Here is a 13,856-nt window from a genome sequence, read left to right on the forward strand (position 1 = left end):
GTTCTGCAAAACCAAAAAACATTGGACAAGCACTTTCCCTCCTAATTTTTAAGCCCATGTGTGTTTAAAGGAAATGTAATCCGTATGTTTTGGGTACATTTACATGCAACTCATCAAACCATGCTCCTCTGCATGAGTAGTCACTTGATGTCTAAAATGCATGGGGAAGATCTTAGATTTACAAGATTTTTGTTGTTGTTGTTGTTGTTGTTGTTTTACCACAGAAGGGCAATAGATGAGGTGCTTGATGGAAGGTGGTGAACTGGGTCCTGATTCTGGCACAGAACCACCAGTTCCCAGAAGATTTGCAAATAATTCTCTGTATCCTCATCTATCAATATTTCCCACCTGCAAGGTGGCATTAATAATTGTTGCCCTTATCAGATCCTGTGGGTAGCCAGTGAGAATTAAAGTGTGATTATCAGGTAATTTTGAGATATTTAAAGAGAAAAATACAAGGGTCCCCTTACTTGCCGTAGCAATTTATTTTAATCTAGTTTTCCAGAATGCTGAAGGACAAAAATGGCTTCTATCTTTAGTAATTCATCCTTGCCCCATCATGAGACACATGACTTCAATGTCATTATATCATAGTTTCACCTGCTAGGGAAGGTCAGGCTGGCTTCCTGTTCTCTACTAGGAAAACACTTACTTACATGGGGATAGAAAGTTGATAAAGAAGTCATGGGGAGTAGACTACGAAGACAAACTGAGAATATACAGTTTGATTTACTTGGAAAAGCAAAGGTGCTAGGTGACTTGAATAGTGTTTTTACACAGATTAAGAGGTAGGATTCTGCCTTTTAGAGTTAGAATTCTGTTCTCAATATCTGTTGAAGATAAAATAAGTCAAGTGTAAACTGTTAGCATGATAAAGCACAAACCATTCAGGCTTTGAAGTCAGGCAGAGTCGGTTTTAATACCTGCTCCAGCTTTACTTTGTGACAGTAGGAAAACTGCCTAACCTCTCTGAGCCTCAATTGCTTCATTTGTAAAATACGAGTTGTTTTGAAGATTAGAGAAAGCGTAATTAAAGGTCTGGAACACAGTAAGTTAACTGATAAAATTTCTGATAGTACTTAAAGTAGCCCTCAGATTTTGATGGAACATAATGAAGAATTCCCATGGTATCAGAAAAGAATAAATAAATAATGCTGTGAAATGGATTAACGAAGATCCATAGTTCTGCTTTCCTGAATCCCTTAGAGAGAATAGAGCCCATTAGGAAGGACACACACATAACTGTCTGCCCTGAGCAGTAAGACAGTCACCAGCCTTCAGGCCAGTAGAGGAACGAGGGCCTCAGCACTTGAACTGAGATGTCATCACAATTCCTAACCAAAAGCAAATCCTTCAAGATGCAACAGTCTAATTCTCAAAGTTAAAGAGTGGCTCTAATTCCTACAACATAGATCTAATGCTGGTCAACACTAGCTTATCTAGCCTACTTTTCTGTTCTAAATCATGCCTCAGCACCTTCATTCTCATGATACTCAGTCATGTTCCTGGGCAGGGGTCACGCCTTGTAGCCACAGGGCCTCCTTGATGTTGCACAGACATGCCTGGCACACGTCTGTCTTTGCACTTGCTGTTTCTACTGCCCAGAGTGCATAGTTGGTAGCTTCTTTTGCAACATTCATGGCATCTTATCAGGACACCATCCCTATTCACACTGTAAAAGTGTCTTCCACTCTCACTCTACCTCTTAATCTGATTTATGTTTCTTCTTTGCATTTATCAATAATTGACATACATATTTCTTGATGCCTTTGCAGTGCAGACAATAAATGGTTAAAGTATGTTCAGATGGCAATTTCCAAGGATAGGGTGGCTGCTCATAGGAAAGCACTTATTTAGAAATCAAATTCAACTTTAGAAAAACGAATAAAAACTCAGAAAAACAATGACTCAAATGGGAGAAAAAAGCAAAGAAAATAAAATATTTCAAGTGCCAAGAATAAAATAAGCAAATACTAAATGCTATTGGAGATACAGAAGGAAGGAAAAAGAAAGAAATAGTTTAATAACTAACACCAGTAGGTTGGAACCCTTGAGAGAGAGAGAGAGTTGTATCTAGAGCAGAAATTCTTAACTTTAAGACTTTTTGAAAATCTGAAGAAAGATATAGACCTCTCTCCAGGAAAAATGTGCATCTATTCATTCAAACACAATTTTACCTACAATATCTGGAACCCCTGAAAAATCTATCCATGTACTTCAAGCTGAAGGTCTTAAAAGCCCTTGCATGCCATGGCCTACCTCCAGAAATAGCCTGTCATGAAAGTCCTGCCCCAAAGAATCACCACCAAGACAGGTCTAGAGGCTTCTTTACAAAAGGCTAGCTTCATTTTTGATCTCCTTATCACTAACAAGGTCTTCTGTTAGCCCATAGTGCAGAACCTTGGAAAAAAAGGCAATAGGAAATGGCTTGCAAGCACATTCTGCTGACCTGGACATGTAAAATAAGCTAATGGGAAGGAAGAGGATGGGCCATCTGAAATGAAAGTAGTAGGTATTCATTCCTCACTGGCTAAATTTTGAAAATGACGGCCTTTGTCTTGTTATAAACAAAGAATGATCAAAAGGAGAGCATTTGACATGTAGTCCATAAGCCTGAGTTCTACTACGCTCTACCACTAACAAGTAGTTGCTTGACCAAAAATATATTGCTCAATTTTGTTGTCTACAAGCTGGAATTTTGAGTGATTTTTACTTTTCTCAGTACATACAATTTTTAAAAATTCTGAGGTGAATACCATTTTATTCAAATCTAAATATATTTTAAATATACATAAGTTTAGTAGAGAAGTGATTCATAAGTCATTTTGTAAAGAAAATGATTGCCATAACTGATTTTTAGCATAAATCTGGATTTTAATATAATGTACTGCACATTTCACAAAATGGTTTGAAATAAAAGTTTTTGGTTTATTTGAAAATTCTTACAGACAGAATACCAAAGATAACCCCTGGTAATCTGTCATTTGAATGTAAATAAATGCCCTCAAACTATAAAAAAAAAAAATCTATTAAAATAAACAGTCATTGCAAAGCCTACGCACTTATGAGACAGATGTGTCACATTTGTGGATTCAATACTGTCTATACAAGATGAAATTTTCTGATTGAATAATCTTAGATATAGCTGGTTTCCCTACCCATTTTGATTCTCTCCTAACTTTCCATAGGTAACAGCTTTTAATTTTATATAGGAGGAGTGAGAAAGAATTTCGAGAAAAGAAAGAAGTATCAACAAGAGAAATGACACAGTCTCTAAGGACATTTATAGCAGGAGCAAATGGTCCTATAAACTTCAGCAATAAGAGATTCACTATATAATAACCTAGTCATAGTGACTGAGGCTAAGTCATCAAGAAAGGGGTGTTCTGTAAACTCTCTTTTCTAAAGCAGGAAGCATCTGATATATTTTGGAACTATTTCCCAGGAGAAAAACAGTTACATTTTTTTTCACACTGTTTTAGCTCTTAAGGTAGTAATTTTCTGAAAAAATGTTATTTGTCTACAACTCCTTGTTTCCTGGGAATGAGAAATATATGAGATATCACTGCAGGTGCTGAAGCCACCTATAGATACTTATCAGAGAAAAATGGCAATCTTTTAATGATAATAAATTACCATAAAATTTGTTTTAAGTGACTCAATTACTAAATATGATGTGGGGAAGAAAACAGCATGAGGGATTTGATCTGGTGATTTAGACTATGCAACAAAGAATTTGATTCTTACGTTAGCTATCCATTTCTCTTTGCCGAAGTGTACACAGTGGCGGAGCATACAGGTGTTTTCTAAAAGGCAGGAGCCATCAACCATCAGCAGGATGTGAGGGAAGTAATGTCACATAGAAAAGAAGTGCCTCTTCCCCAGTGATTCTTACCTGTTTCTCCCAGAATCTCTGAATCCTTTAGCAAAAGGGTTTCGGTCAATTTTTAATCTGGTAATCTGGAAACAAACAAATAAGTATGAATTGCTTTTATATTAACTGATTTCTTTCTTAGTACTCCTAGAAAATTACAAAAATCACTTTTTTAATAACAGTTGTTGCTTTTATTTAATTTCCTTTCAGCTCAAGATTTAATTTGAAGCTGGATATAGAACTTGGCCTGGCACACAGATGTCTGACCCACCCGACTCACTTCTCTATAAAAACTAAAATTTGCCCAGTATGTGACTCTAAAAACTCTCTCCTACTCACCTTCCTTGCCCCAGAGTGGTGGTAAATCACTTGCCTAGACAGATATTGAAATGGAAAATTGGTCAATGGTCACGTCCATGGTACATGACACACGGGAGGCACTTAAAAAATGCTTGTTGAATGAGTGAGTAAACAAATGATGTGTAAGTGAGTTAATAATTAATAATGGACTCAGTCAATTCAGTTAGGTGGAATCAGACCACAAGACAATCTGCCTTAGCCTGAAAGACCCAAAAAATTGACTGCATTTGCCATTTCACTGAAGGCATGCCTTTCCTACCACTAGAAATTATTCATTTAATGACTTGAAATGTTCATGTAGAAGACAGAAAAAGCAGACTTTTGCCAGGGTCTTACCCAAAGGAAAATCTACAATGTGAGACTGAATGGGGCAGGATGCAGTACATGTTATCCAGTCTCCAAGACTCACAAGCAAATCAGAAACAAAGAGCCAGTTTCATAAGGCTGACCAAGCTAGCACATCCAATTGTGTCACCAGCTTGGTCCTCAGGGGCCATGTGGTTCAACCCCCACTCAATGCATAAGTCCCCATCCATTGCATCCTATCTTAGTTCTGGCAAACCCTGCCATGGTTGTATATATTGCCCTCATGCCTGTAGACTAGAACAAGCCTGAACAACATATGTCACATGCACTCTAGTGTTTCCACTTTCAGCCTTGGTACCTTTGTGTCTGAATTGTTAATGACTCACTACATGCAAGCAATGGAGACTTAGGCATAGGTGCTAGGGAGCTCAGGAAGGAAGGAAGGCACTCCCAATGCAAGGTGATTCTAGAAATAAGGGAATCTCATTATTTAAGACCATCTTCATATTTTTGATAATTGTAGAACGTATCACTAGGACAGCTAAAGTTGTTTCCTACATTGCAAATCTTTCCTAGTTCTCTTTCACCTCATTTTATCAGAGTGGAATTTCCCAAGACCGCAGTCTTTAAAGGTCTTTCAAAGCAATGTGAGATTCTGACAAACAGACTCTGACTTGAAAGAGTCTTCCAGGCTTCAAGGTTATTTTCTTCCTAAATATTCCTTGCCTTTAAAATTGCACACTAATTATGCAGCACCAACAATGTAGCAAAAGCAATTTTACATGTATTTTATAGACCATAGCAGGAGTCTAAAGGTTTGGCTTTCTAAAGTCGAGTGTCTGCCATATGAATACTGTATTGAGTTTAAAGAGTGTCACTGCTTTTCTGTGTTTGACCGAAAATCAGTTCTTTCTTCCTCCATAATCCACAGCAATAAACCATGCACCATATTTTCTTTTCAAGTTGGAGTTATAATATTTTATTTTCTCTTTCAAGTTGGTTTATCCTGTCCAACTCATTTATGATAGGGATTTCTGACACATGACTGTGATACCATGTTTTGGGGGTCTCCACAGACCCCTGTAAATATAACAGCACTCTACTTCATGGGCCCGGGGGAAATGGTTAAAAATATATTTCCCACAGCTCATTGGATCCCAGGCCAATGGGTATGCATGGAAATTTAATAGCAAATGTCTCAAGTGTTAGAAAAAAACAATATCTGTACACTTGTTTTAAAGCTTTTAATGTGAGAATTAGGGAGCTTTATGAAGAGAGTGGTTGTGCCACTTATCATTTATCATCAAGTGCCTTCTGTGTGCAAAGCAGTGTGACAAGCAACACAGGTGACAGAATGGTGTACAGCCAGTGTATAGCTGTGTGTCATCCATTTTTCCTCAAGGAGCTTATAATCCAGAAGAAAGAAGCAGATGTGCACTAACAATTACAATATAAAAAAGAAGGTCATAAAGTTCACAATAAAGGCAAAGTACCCTGAAAGCTTAGACGAAGTAGGAATTACTCCATGTTGAAGGGCTCTGGGGTTTCATGTTAGAGACAGCATGTGAGCTAGGCCTTGAAAGATGTGTAGGATTTTAATGAAAACACAAGAGAAGGAAAAAGGACAAAGGAAGCATTTCTTAAGAAAGGCACTATGTAACACAGGATATGAACAGACACTTCACAAAAGAAGACATTTATGTGGCCAAGAAACACATGAAAAAAAGCTCAACATCACTGATCATTAGAGAAATGCAAATCAAAACCACAATGAGATACCATCTCACGCCAGTCAGAAATGGCGATTATTAAAAAGTCAAGAGGCCAAGCGTGGTGGCTCATGCCTGCAATCCTCATACTTTGGGAGGCCGAGGCAGATGGATTGCCTGAGCTCAGGAGTTCAAGACCAGCCTGGGAAACATGATGAAACACCATCTCTACTTAAAAATACAAAAAATTACCTAGGCATGGTGGTGTGCACCTGTAGTCCCAGCTACTTGGGAGGCTGAGGCGAGAGAATTGCTTGAACCCAGGAAGTGGGAGCTATGGTGAGCTACGATTGCACCACTGCACTCCAGCCTGGATGACAGAGCAAGACTCTGTCTCCAAAAAAAATAAAGAAATAAAAAATAAAAATAAATAAATAAAAATCAAGAAAAAACAGATGCTGGCAAGGCTGTGAAGAAATAGGAATGCTTTTCACTGTCAGTGGGAATGCAAATTAGTTCAATTATTGTGGAAGACAGTGCAGGGATTCCTCAAAGACCTAGAATCAGAAATAGCATTTAACCTAGCAATCTTATTACTGGATATATACCCAAATAAATAGAAATCTTCTATTATAAAGATATATGCATGTGTATGTTCATTGTAGCACTATTCACAATAACAAAGACGTGGAATCAACCAAAATGCCCATCAATAATAGACTGGATAAAGAAAATGTGATACATATACATCATGGAATACTACACAGCCATAAAAAGGAATGAGATCATGTCCTTGGAAGGAACATGGTTGGAGCTGGAAGCCAATATCCTAAGCAAACGAACGCAGGAACAGAAAACCAAACACCACATGTTCTCTCTTATAAGTGGGAGCTGAATGATGAGAACACATAGACACAGGGAAGGGAACAATACACACTGAGGCCTGTCAGGGAGCAGGAGAGGAAGAGCATCAGGATAAATAGCTAATGCATGTGGGGCTTAATACCTAGGTGATGGGTTGATAGGTGCAGCACACTACCATGGCACACATTTACCTATGAAACAAACCTGCACATCCTGCATATGTGTCGTGGAACTTAAAATAAAATTTAATTTAAAATTTTTAAAAGAAAGGCCCTATGTAAGCATGAATATCAAAGTGGGAAAGAATAACACATATTCCAGAAACCTTAGCCCATGTCATCATCATCTCTTGACTGAACTATTCTATGTAGCCTTAGAACTGAACTCCTTTCTTCCATTCTCGTCCCTGTACAATCTCTTCTCTATCCAGCACCCCATTTGGTCTTCGTTAACATGTAACTGGACCATGTCATTCTCTTTAGTGGCCACTACCGCTCAGAATTTAATCCAAATTCCTTGTCTAGCTTTGCAGAGCCAGCAGGCCCTTACTCTGGCCTGCCTCTCCAACCCATTCACACTCCCTTGCCTTGATCCACAGGCTCAGGACAGACTGAGCAACTCAGCCAGACTGAGATGCTCCCAGTTCTGGAATGTGCCAAGCTCTTTCTGTGTTCAGGCCACTCACATTTGCTCTACAACCAAATTTGAAATGCTCATTTCTCTACTTTGCACATAGCTGACTCCTCGTCCTAAGCCTCAGTCAAAAATATTATCTCCTGAGAGAGATCTTCTCTGATCATCTCTCCAAAATAGGATACTTCTGCTACTCTTCTTAACTGCATCCTTTTAAATTCCATCTTTGCTCTTAACACAATTGGTAATTACACATGTATTTTTGTATTTACATGTTTACTAAATGTAACTCCCCCCGGACCACAGGTAGGAACCATGTCTATTTTATATACCATTTAATTAAGCAGAACCTAGTGTGACATGCTCATTGAATATTTATTCAATGAGCAAGTGAATGAATAAATGATGATGTGAGAGCCAGGGATCAAGAGTCCCAAAACCATGATAAGCTTCAGAGAATCTAGACCAAACAATGCTCTTGATTCTATTTGCTTTCACTGGAGGCATTAGAGACAAAAATCCTATACTAATAGAACAAGGTCTATTAGTAATCTCCTGTGCGACTAAAACAAGTCTGCTAGTCTACATGTCCAAACTTTGTCCAGTGATAATGAGAAGACAGGGAAAATACAGAGGTTGTAAAAGCATTTTACTTTACTGATTTTATTTCCATAACCTTATACTAATTTGTGTAGTTTGAATTATAGAACACTGAGGCACATAAGGGGGTGGTTGCCGACTTGCCACCATTAATGTTAATCATTGTCACGGACTTCTTGCCTAGTAACATGGAGGCAGTTAATAAATGAGGTATACTTCACAGTGCACCAGGCAGACATAAATAGCACAACCTGAAAAGGAAATGAAACTTGAATATCCTGAGTATGGTTTTACAGCACGAAGGCTGAAGGGGCCTTCTCTTATTAACACTCTTCGTTATTTTTATTTCATACTATATTGCTTGAAAGGTTTTCCATAGGGGGGAAAACAAAACAAAACAAAAAACCTTAGCCCATATGAAAAAGATTCCACACTGATTTGAGCCAGCAAAATGGCTCTCTAGTTTAGACCATAATGAGTGGCTCAGAAATCCTATTGGATTTGCTCACACAAACCTGGCTGTGGTTTCCAACTTCCTATCTGGTTCATGTAGCCAATTCTCATCAAGAAATAAGACTGTGTTACCTGGGAAAACAAGGCCATGTCTTTTTGAAATCTAGTTTCCTGTTCGAAAACAAAAATCAACGTTCAGCATTCTTTTTCCCCCAGAGAAGACAAAGACTTTGCAATGGAAATTTCTTGCTAATTCTGTGAGGATATGTTGGCATCAGATTCTTCTAAGAAAAAGCATGAAGTGTTGAGTCACCTTTATTCCCACATCTACCATTTTATTCTCTTTGAAGAGATTCTGGGCATGCTACACCTTTCTCTCTGCCATAGGCCTGCCAAGTTGGCACATAGAGAGCCAATAATAGTAATAATAACTTCAGTATGCTAGCAGCCCTAAGAGTCTATTGGTCAGTAAGCAAGGATGGAAGGAAGGAATGGAAAATGGGGAAAGAAAAGCATAACATATTCCATGAAAATAGAAAAGCTCTCTTTACTACTACTTACACCCAAAGAAACAGAACCACAGATATATAAAGAAACCAGTGGTAGAGTCATGTTGGCTAATCATTCATTCAGTTTCATTTCAGTCATTTGCCAACCATATATATTCAGTGCTATGCAATATAGGTCAGACGCAAATATCTTAGAATTACAGAAATGTGCTTCAGAATTTTTTAGGTCAATTCTAATCCCCCTCCCATTATTTGAGCAATCAACATTACATCCGAATTTTTCATTCTACCAAATGGAGACAGTTAACATCTATCTACTCTCTCTTGTCTCATAATTTCATAAAATAAGTGACATTTTTATATCAAAAAAGTAGGAAAGACAAAATAAAATAGTCTATTAAATTGAATGTCTACATTCATAAAAGTACCCATATTTCTTTATTTTTCTCATTTTTCAGTGGACCATAAAAAACTTCTCCATAGACTAGTACTGATTCAGACAAAATCATCAATTTGTAAATGAGAATACTAAGGTAGAGTGATTTGTCAAAAGTAGTACAGTCCGTCAATTGCAGAGTTGGGTCTAGAACTCAAGTCTCCTAACTCCCAACTTCGTGTTTTCTACATCATACTGTTTATTTGTAAAAGGTACAACTTTTGTTCTCAAAAAGCTCAAAATATCAAGAGGAAGATTGGACATGCAAGCCAAAGTTGCAATGTGATGAGGTCACGAGAGAGTGCAGTCCCCTAACAGTTCTAACTGGGGAGAGCTCATTTGCAGCTGAAAAAAGGAAAGGAAGTGGTAGGGAATGGTATTTTCACTGAATTTTTGAAGAGTAGAAGGAATCAAGACAAATAAAAACAAAAGGGAAGGGCATTCCTGGAAAAGAAAAAGGGACATACAAAGGCAAGGATGCTGCAAAGTTCAGGCAACAGTAAAAATCTGACCAGATTGCGACACTCTTGCAGATGTGTGAGGAGGAATAACAGAAATTGAGCCTAGAAATGTAGTTGGTCATTAGCCACAGAGGACATTATTGGAAAGACTCGGGGTCCAGCACTTGACTCCCTAGGCACTGAGGAGTCATTGACAATTTTTGGCATAGAAATGGTGCAATTATCACTGGGCTTTACAATGATGTATAGGATGGCTTGTGAGACATTAAGCTTGCAGTCCAAGTGACCTAATTGGAAGCTATCATAAGAACCCAAGGTTGGGGGAAGGCAGGAACAGAACAAGGGCAAAATCAATCAGATTAGAAAGAAGAAAATATTCTGTCAGTAGAAGCAAAAGACATTAGTGACAGACTGGATGTTGTGACAACCAGGTGTTCAACCTGGGTGACAAAATGGAAGTTAGCAGAAACAGGAGGTTTAACAATGCTACTAATAACCCCAACACTTTGGGAGGCCGAGGTGGGAGAATTGCTTGAGCCCAGGAGTTCAAGACTAGCCTGGGCAACAAAATGAGAGGCAATCTCTAAAAAAAAATCAAAACAATTAGGTGGGCATGGTGATACCCGCCTGTGGTCCCAGCTACAGTCAGAAAGCTGACACAGGAGGATGGCTTGATCCCAGGAGGCCAGGGCTGCAGTGAGCCATGTTCACACCACTGAACTCCAGCCTGAGTGACAGAGCAAGACCCTGTCCCAAAAAACAAACAAACAAAAAAATAAAAACAACAGGAGAATTGAAAAGAGTCATAAATAAACAGTATCTTGGGGAATATTTTATTTACAAAACACCATGTTCATACCTCTCAAGTGTAGACTTACTAAAAATTTATTGGTAAAGATTATCTGGTGAATAAAAACAATTTTCAGACATGAACATTCTAATAATTTTCAGTAGTTGAAAATCGTGTTGATTGCCTTGGTTTGAGAACAATTGCTCCCAATCCTCATTTAAAATCATGCAGAAAAAAAGAAGGATAAATTAGAATTCCAGAGCTTTCAGGGACCTTGTAAAGCACAGGCCAATTCCTCATTTTCTAAGACAAGAAACTGAAGCACTGAAGCACAATTATTGTAAAAATACACAACTTGCTCAGAGCAACATGTGTAACTCGTAGAAAATTTAAGACTAAAACCCAGGTCTCCAAATGTCTAGCCCATTGCTGTCTGTGGAGCAGGACACTGCTTTTCCTTAGAAAGTCTGGGTAATGTTCCATTTCCATTACATTCCCTCTATTGTCTTTTCTTCAGTGTTTCCCCAAACAAGTTCCTAAGAACACCAAGGACCTACCACTAAATTTTTTTCTCTTTACTATTTCACAGGCCTCCTAACCGTTTCCTTAAAAAGAAATAAATGAAGTAAATAATTTTGACGTACTGATTGTTCTCATTCTAGAATGTTATGAAGAATAAAAACACAGTAAGAGGTGAAAATAGCTCACAAAAGAGAACAATTTATGCTACCTGGCATCTTCAGAACAAGTCCGAAAAGTATAGTTAGGTAACAGCTCTGACCTACAGGATGCAAACTTCAGGATTCCTGGGGGAAAGACCCGAGGTTATTTTGTATTACTAGAAGGTACTGTATTATATTAAATCATATCTGCGCAGCCAAAGGGAATGTTAAATAAGCATGCTTGTTGATTTATCCAGGGATTAGAGGCTTGTTAAACAGGCAAAAGCTGTCATCTTGATCCCAAAATGGGCAGAATTGAGTATGACTCATCTATTTTGCATGTCAGCACATCATGAATTCACCAATATGACATGACGACAGAGAGATCAAAGTAGTTACCTATGGATTATAATTCCTTTGAGAGCCATTGCAGCTCCTCCAATTTCGAACAATGCACTTTTTCCTTAATAAGCAATCTATTCTTTAAAATTGCTTCTATGCCCCGCTTTTCATGCCTGTTCAGACCCAGCCACGGAGCAATGTAGGCTGACTACTATTAATTAGATGTCAGGTTTGTGTCAGTGAATTTATACACGTTTCCTTATTTAGTCCTCATAGCTCTACGAGGCAGGCGCATTTTCAAGACCGGAAACACAAGTTGAAAGAAATTAATACCACACAATGTCAGTGAAAAGATCAGAAATCAAACCAAGTTTATCTGCTGCCAAATTTTATGATCTTAACCATGGTATCCTGCTCCCACTTCAGCCCAGATGTAAACAAAATATTTCTATGAGTAGAATGTACTCATGTGCTAGAACACTGTCTATAAAAGAAGGTAAAGGATGTGAAGAGGCTGTCAGAAACCCATGCTTAGTCCTCTTTCATTGTCAAAGTGAGTTGTAGCTTTCTAGTTTCAACTTGGGTTACAATAATGGCTCTCCTAGTCTCTGTAACTGATCTCAATGAGGCAGTAGAATGTTTGTTCTTCAGTGTTCTACAAAGTAAATTCTGATGTTGAAATATTTATTGTCACATCACTGCCTTCATCAGAAACTATTTTAAATGGTGGCTGGAGTATTCTTAGGAAAGTCTATAATCAGTTATCCAAAGAACTCAGACTCTTACTCCCCTTCTTCTGAGCCAGAACTAATCCCAAAGTTCTGGTTGCTCCAAAGTCCTTGTCTATGTTGATGCTATATCTCGTATCAGAGCTTGAAAAATCTTAATTATTACAGTTTTCTGTATGGACCCTCCATGGCTTCTGCAGTTTTACTATCTAAGGAATTTGAGATGGTTTAATAGCTTCTTAAATAGCACCCAAACCAAACTAAAGCTCTTCTTCTATTTTAGATCAAATGTGGCATTCACAAGGAAAATCTGAAGTTGAAAACACTTTACAGCTGCTGAGAACTCTAACACTGTATAGTACTTAACATTTAGTGGACTAAGGGTTGTTGTATGTCAAATTCCCCTGAAAGTAAATAATACCTAAGGAATCTTATGCAGAAGGACCAAAAAACAGATGTAGCAGAAGACTCTCAAGGGCCACCTCTTACCTGCTGATTCTGATAGGCCGTAACTGTGGTGAACACAGTCTCAGGAAAGTTGAACGTTTTCACCCCATCCCCAACAGGAACAGGCTTAGTGGGTGAAAGGTCACTGCTGAAGTCTTTGCGAATCACATGAACTCGAGGCTGGTATTTGTGCATAGAGTGCAGAATGATCTGAAATAAAAAGGGGAATTGTACCAGGCTTGGCTTTAAGGAACCTACATTTTGTTCTCATGCAAAAATAAATCACTAAGTTGAAGCACTATAGGAAAAGCACAGATTGGAGGTGAGATGTACAGAAAACTAGAAATCAGTATACTTGCCCAGGAAGAACTAAGTGATTAAATAGCATTACATGGAACCAAATAGCAGGACATCCTTATCATAGATGGTAAAAGTAATATGTTTGCTTCAATTGGATAATGCTGAATGACTTCTTTAGTACCAATGGACATGTCACTAAAAGGTTTCAGAACCTCTGCCATGTGACAAGTTGTTCCCTCCAGCTTCAAATTTTCAGCATGTATTCATGCTGTCTTTAAATTCTACATCCTATTATTTGCATTCATTATTGAATATGTGAACATTATTTTGTTATGTGAGAGTAAATGGTAGATATGGGTTTTCACTCTTTCAGAAAATTGTT

General features: G+C 38.1%; 1 protein-coding gene across 8 annotated transcripts in view; it reads right to left on the reverse strand.

Annotated features, from left to right (window-relative positions):
- Positions 1-13,856, reverse strand: part of TBX15 (T-box transcription factor 15) — a 106,464-nt gene that overhangs the window by 27,173 nt on the left and 65,435 nt on the right. For all 8 annotated transcript variants that reach the window (NM_152380.3, XM_047429138.1, XM_047429131.1 and 5 more), the window contains 2 exons: positions 13,217-13,384; positions 3,896-3,960 (listed from right to left, as the gene is read on the reverse strand). In NM_152380.3, the coding sequence (NP_689593.2) occupies positions 3,896-3,960; positions 13,217-13,384 (233 nt within the window). The remainder of the gene's footprint in view (positions 1-3,895; positions 3,961-13,216; positions 13,385-13,856) is intronic.

The sequence above is a fragment of the Homo sapiens genome, chromosome 1, assembly GCF_000001405.40.
Source record: "Homo sapiens chromosome 1, GRCh38.p14 Primary Assembly".
Taxonomy (NCBI): Eukaryota; Metazoa; Chordata; class Mammalia; order Primates; family Hominidae; genus Homo; species Homo sapiens.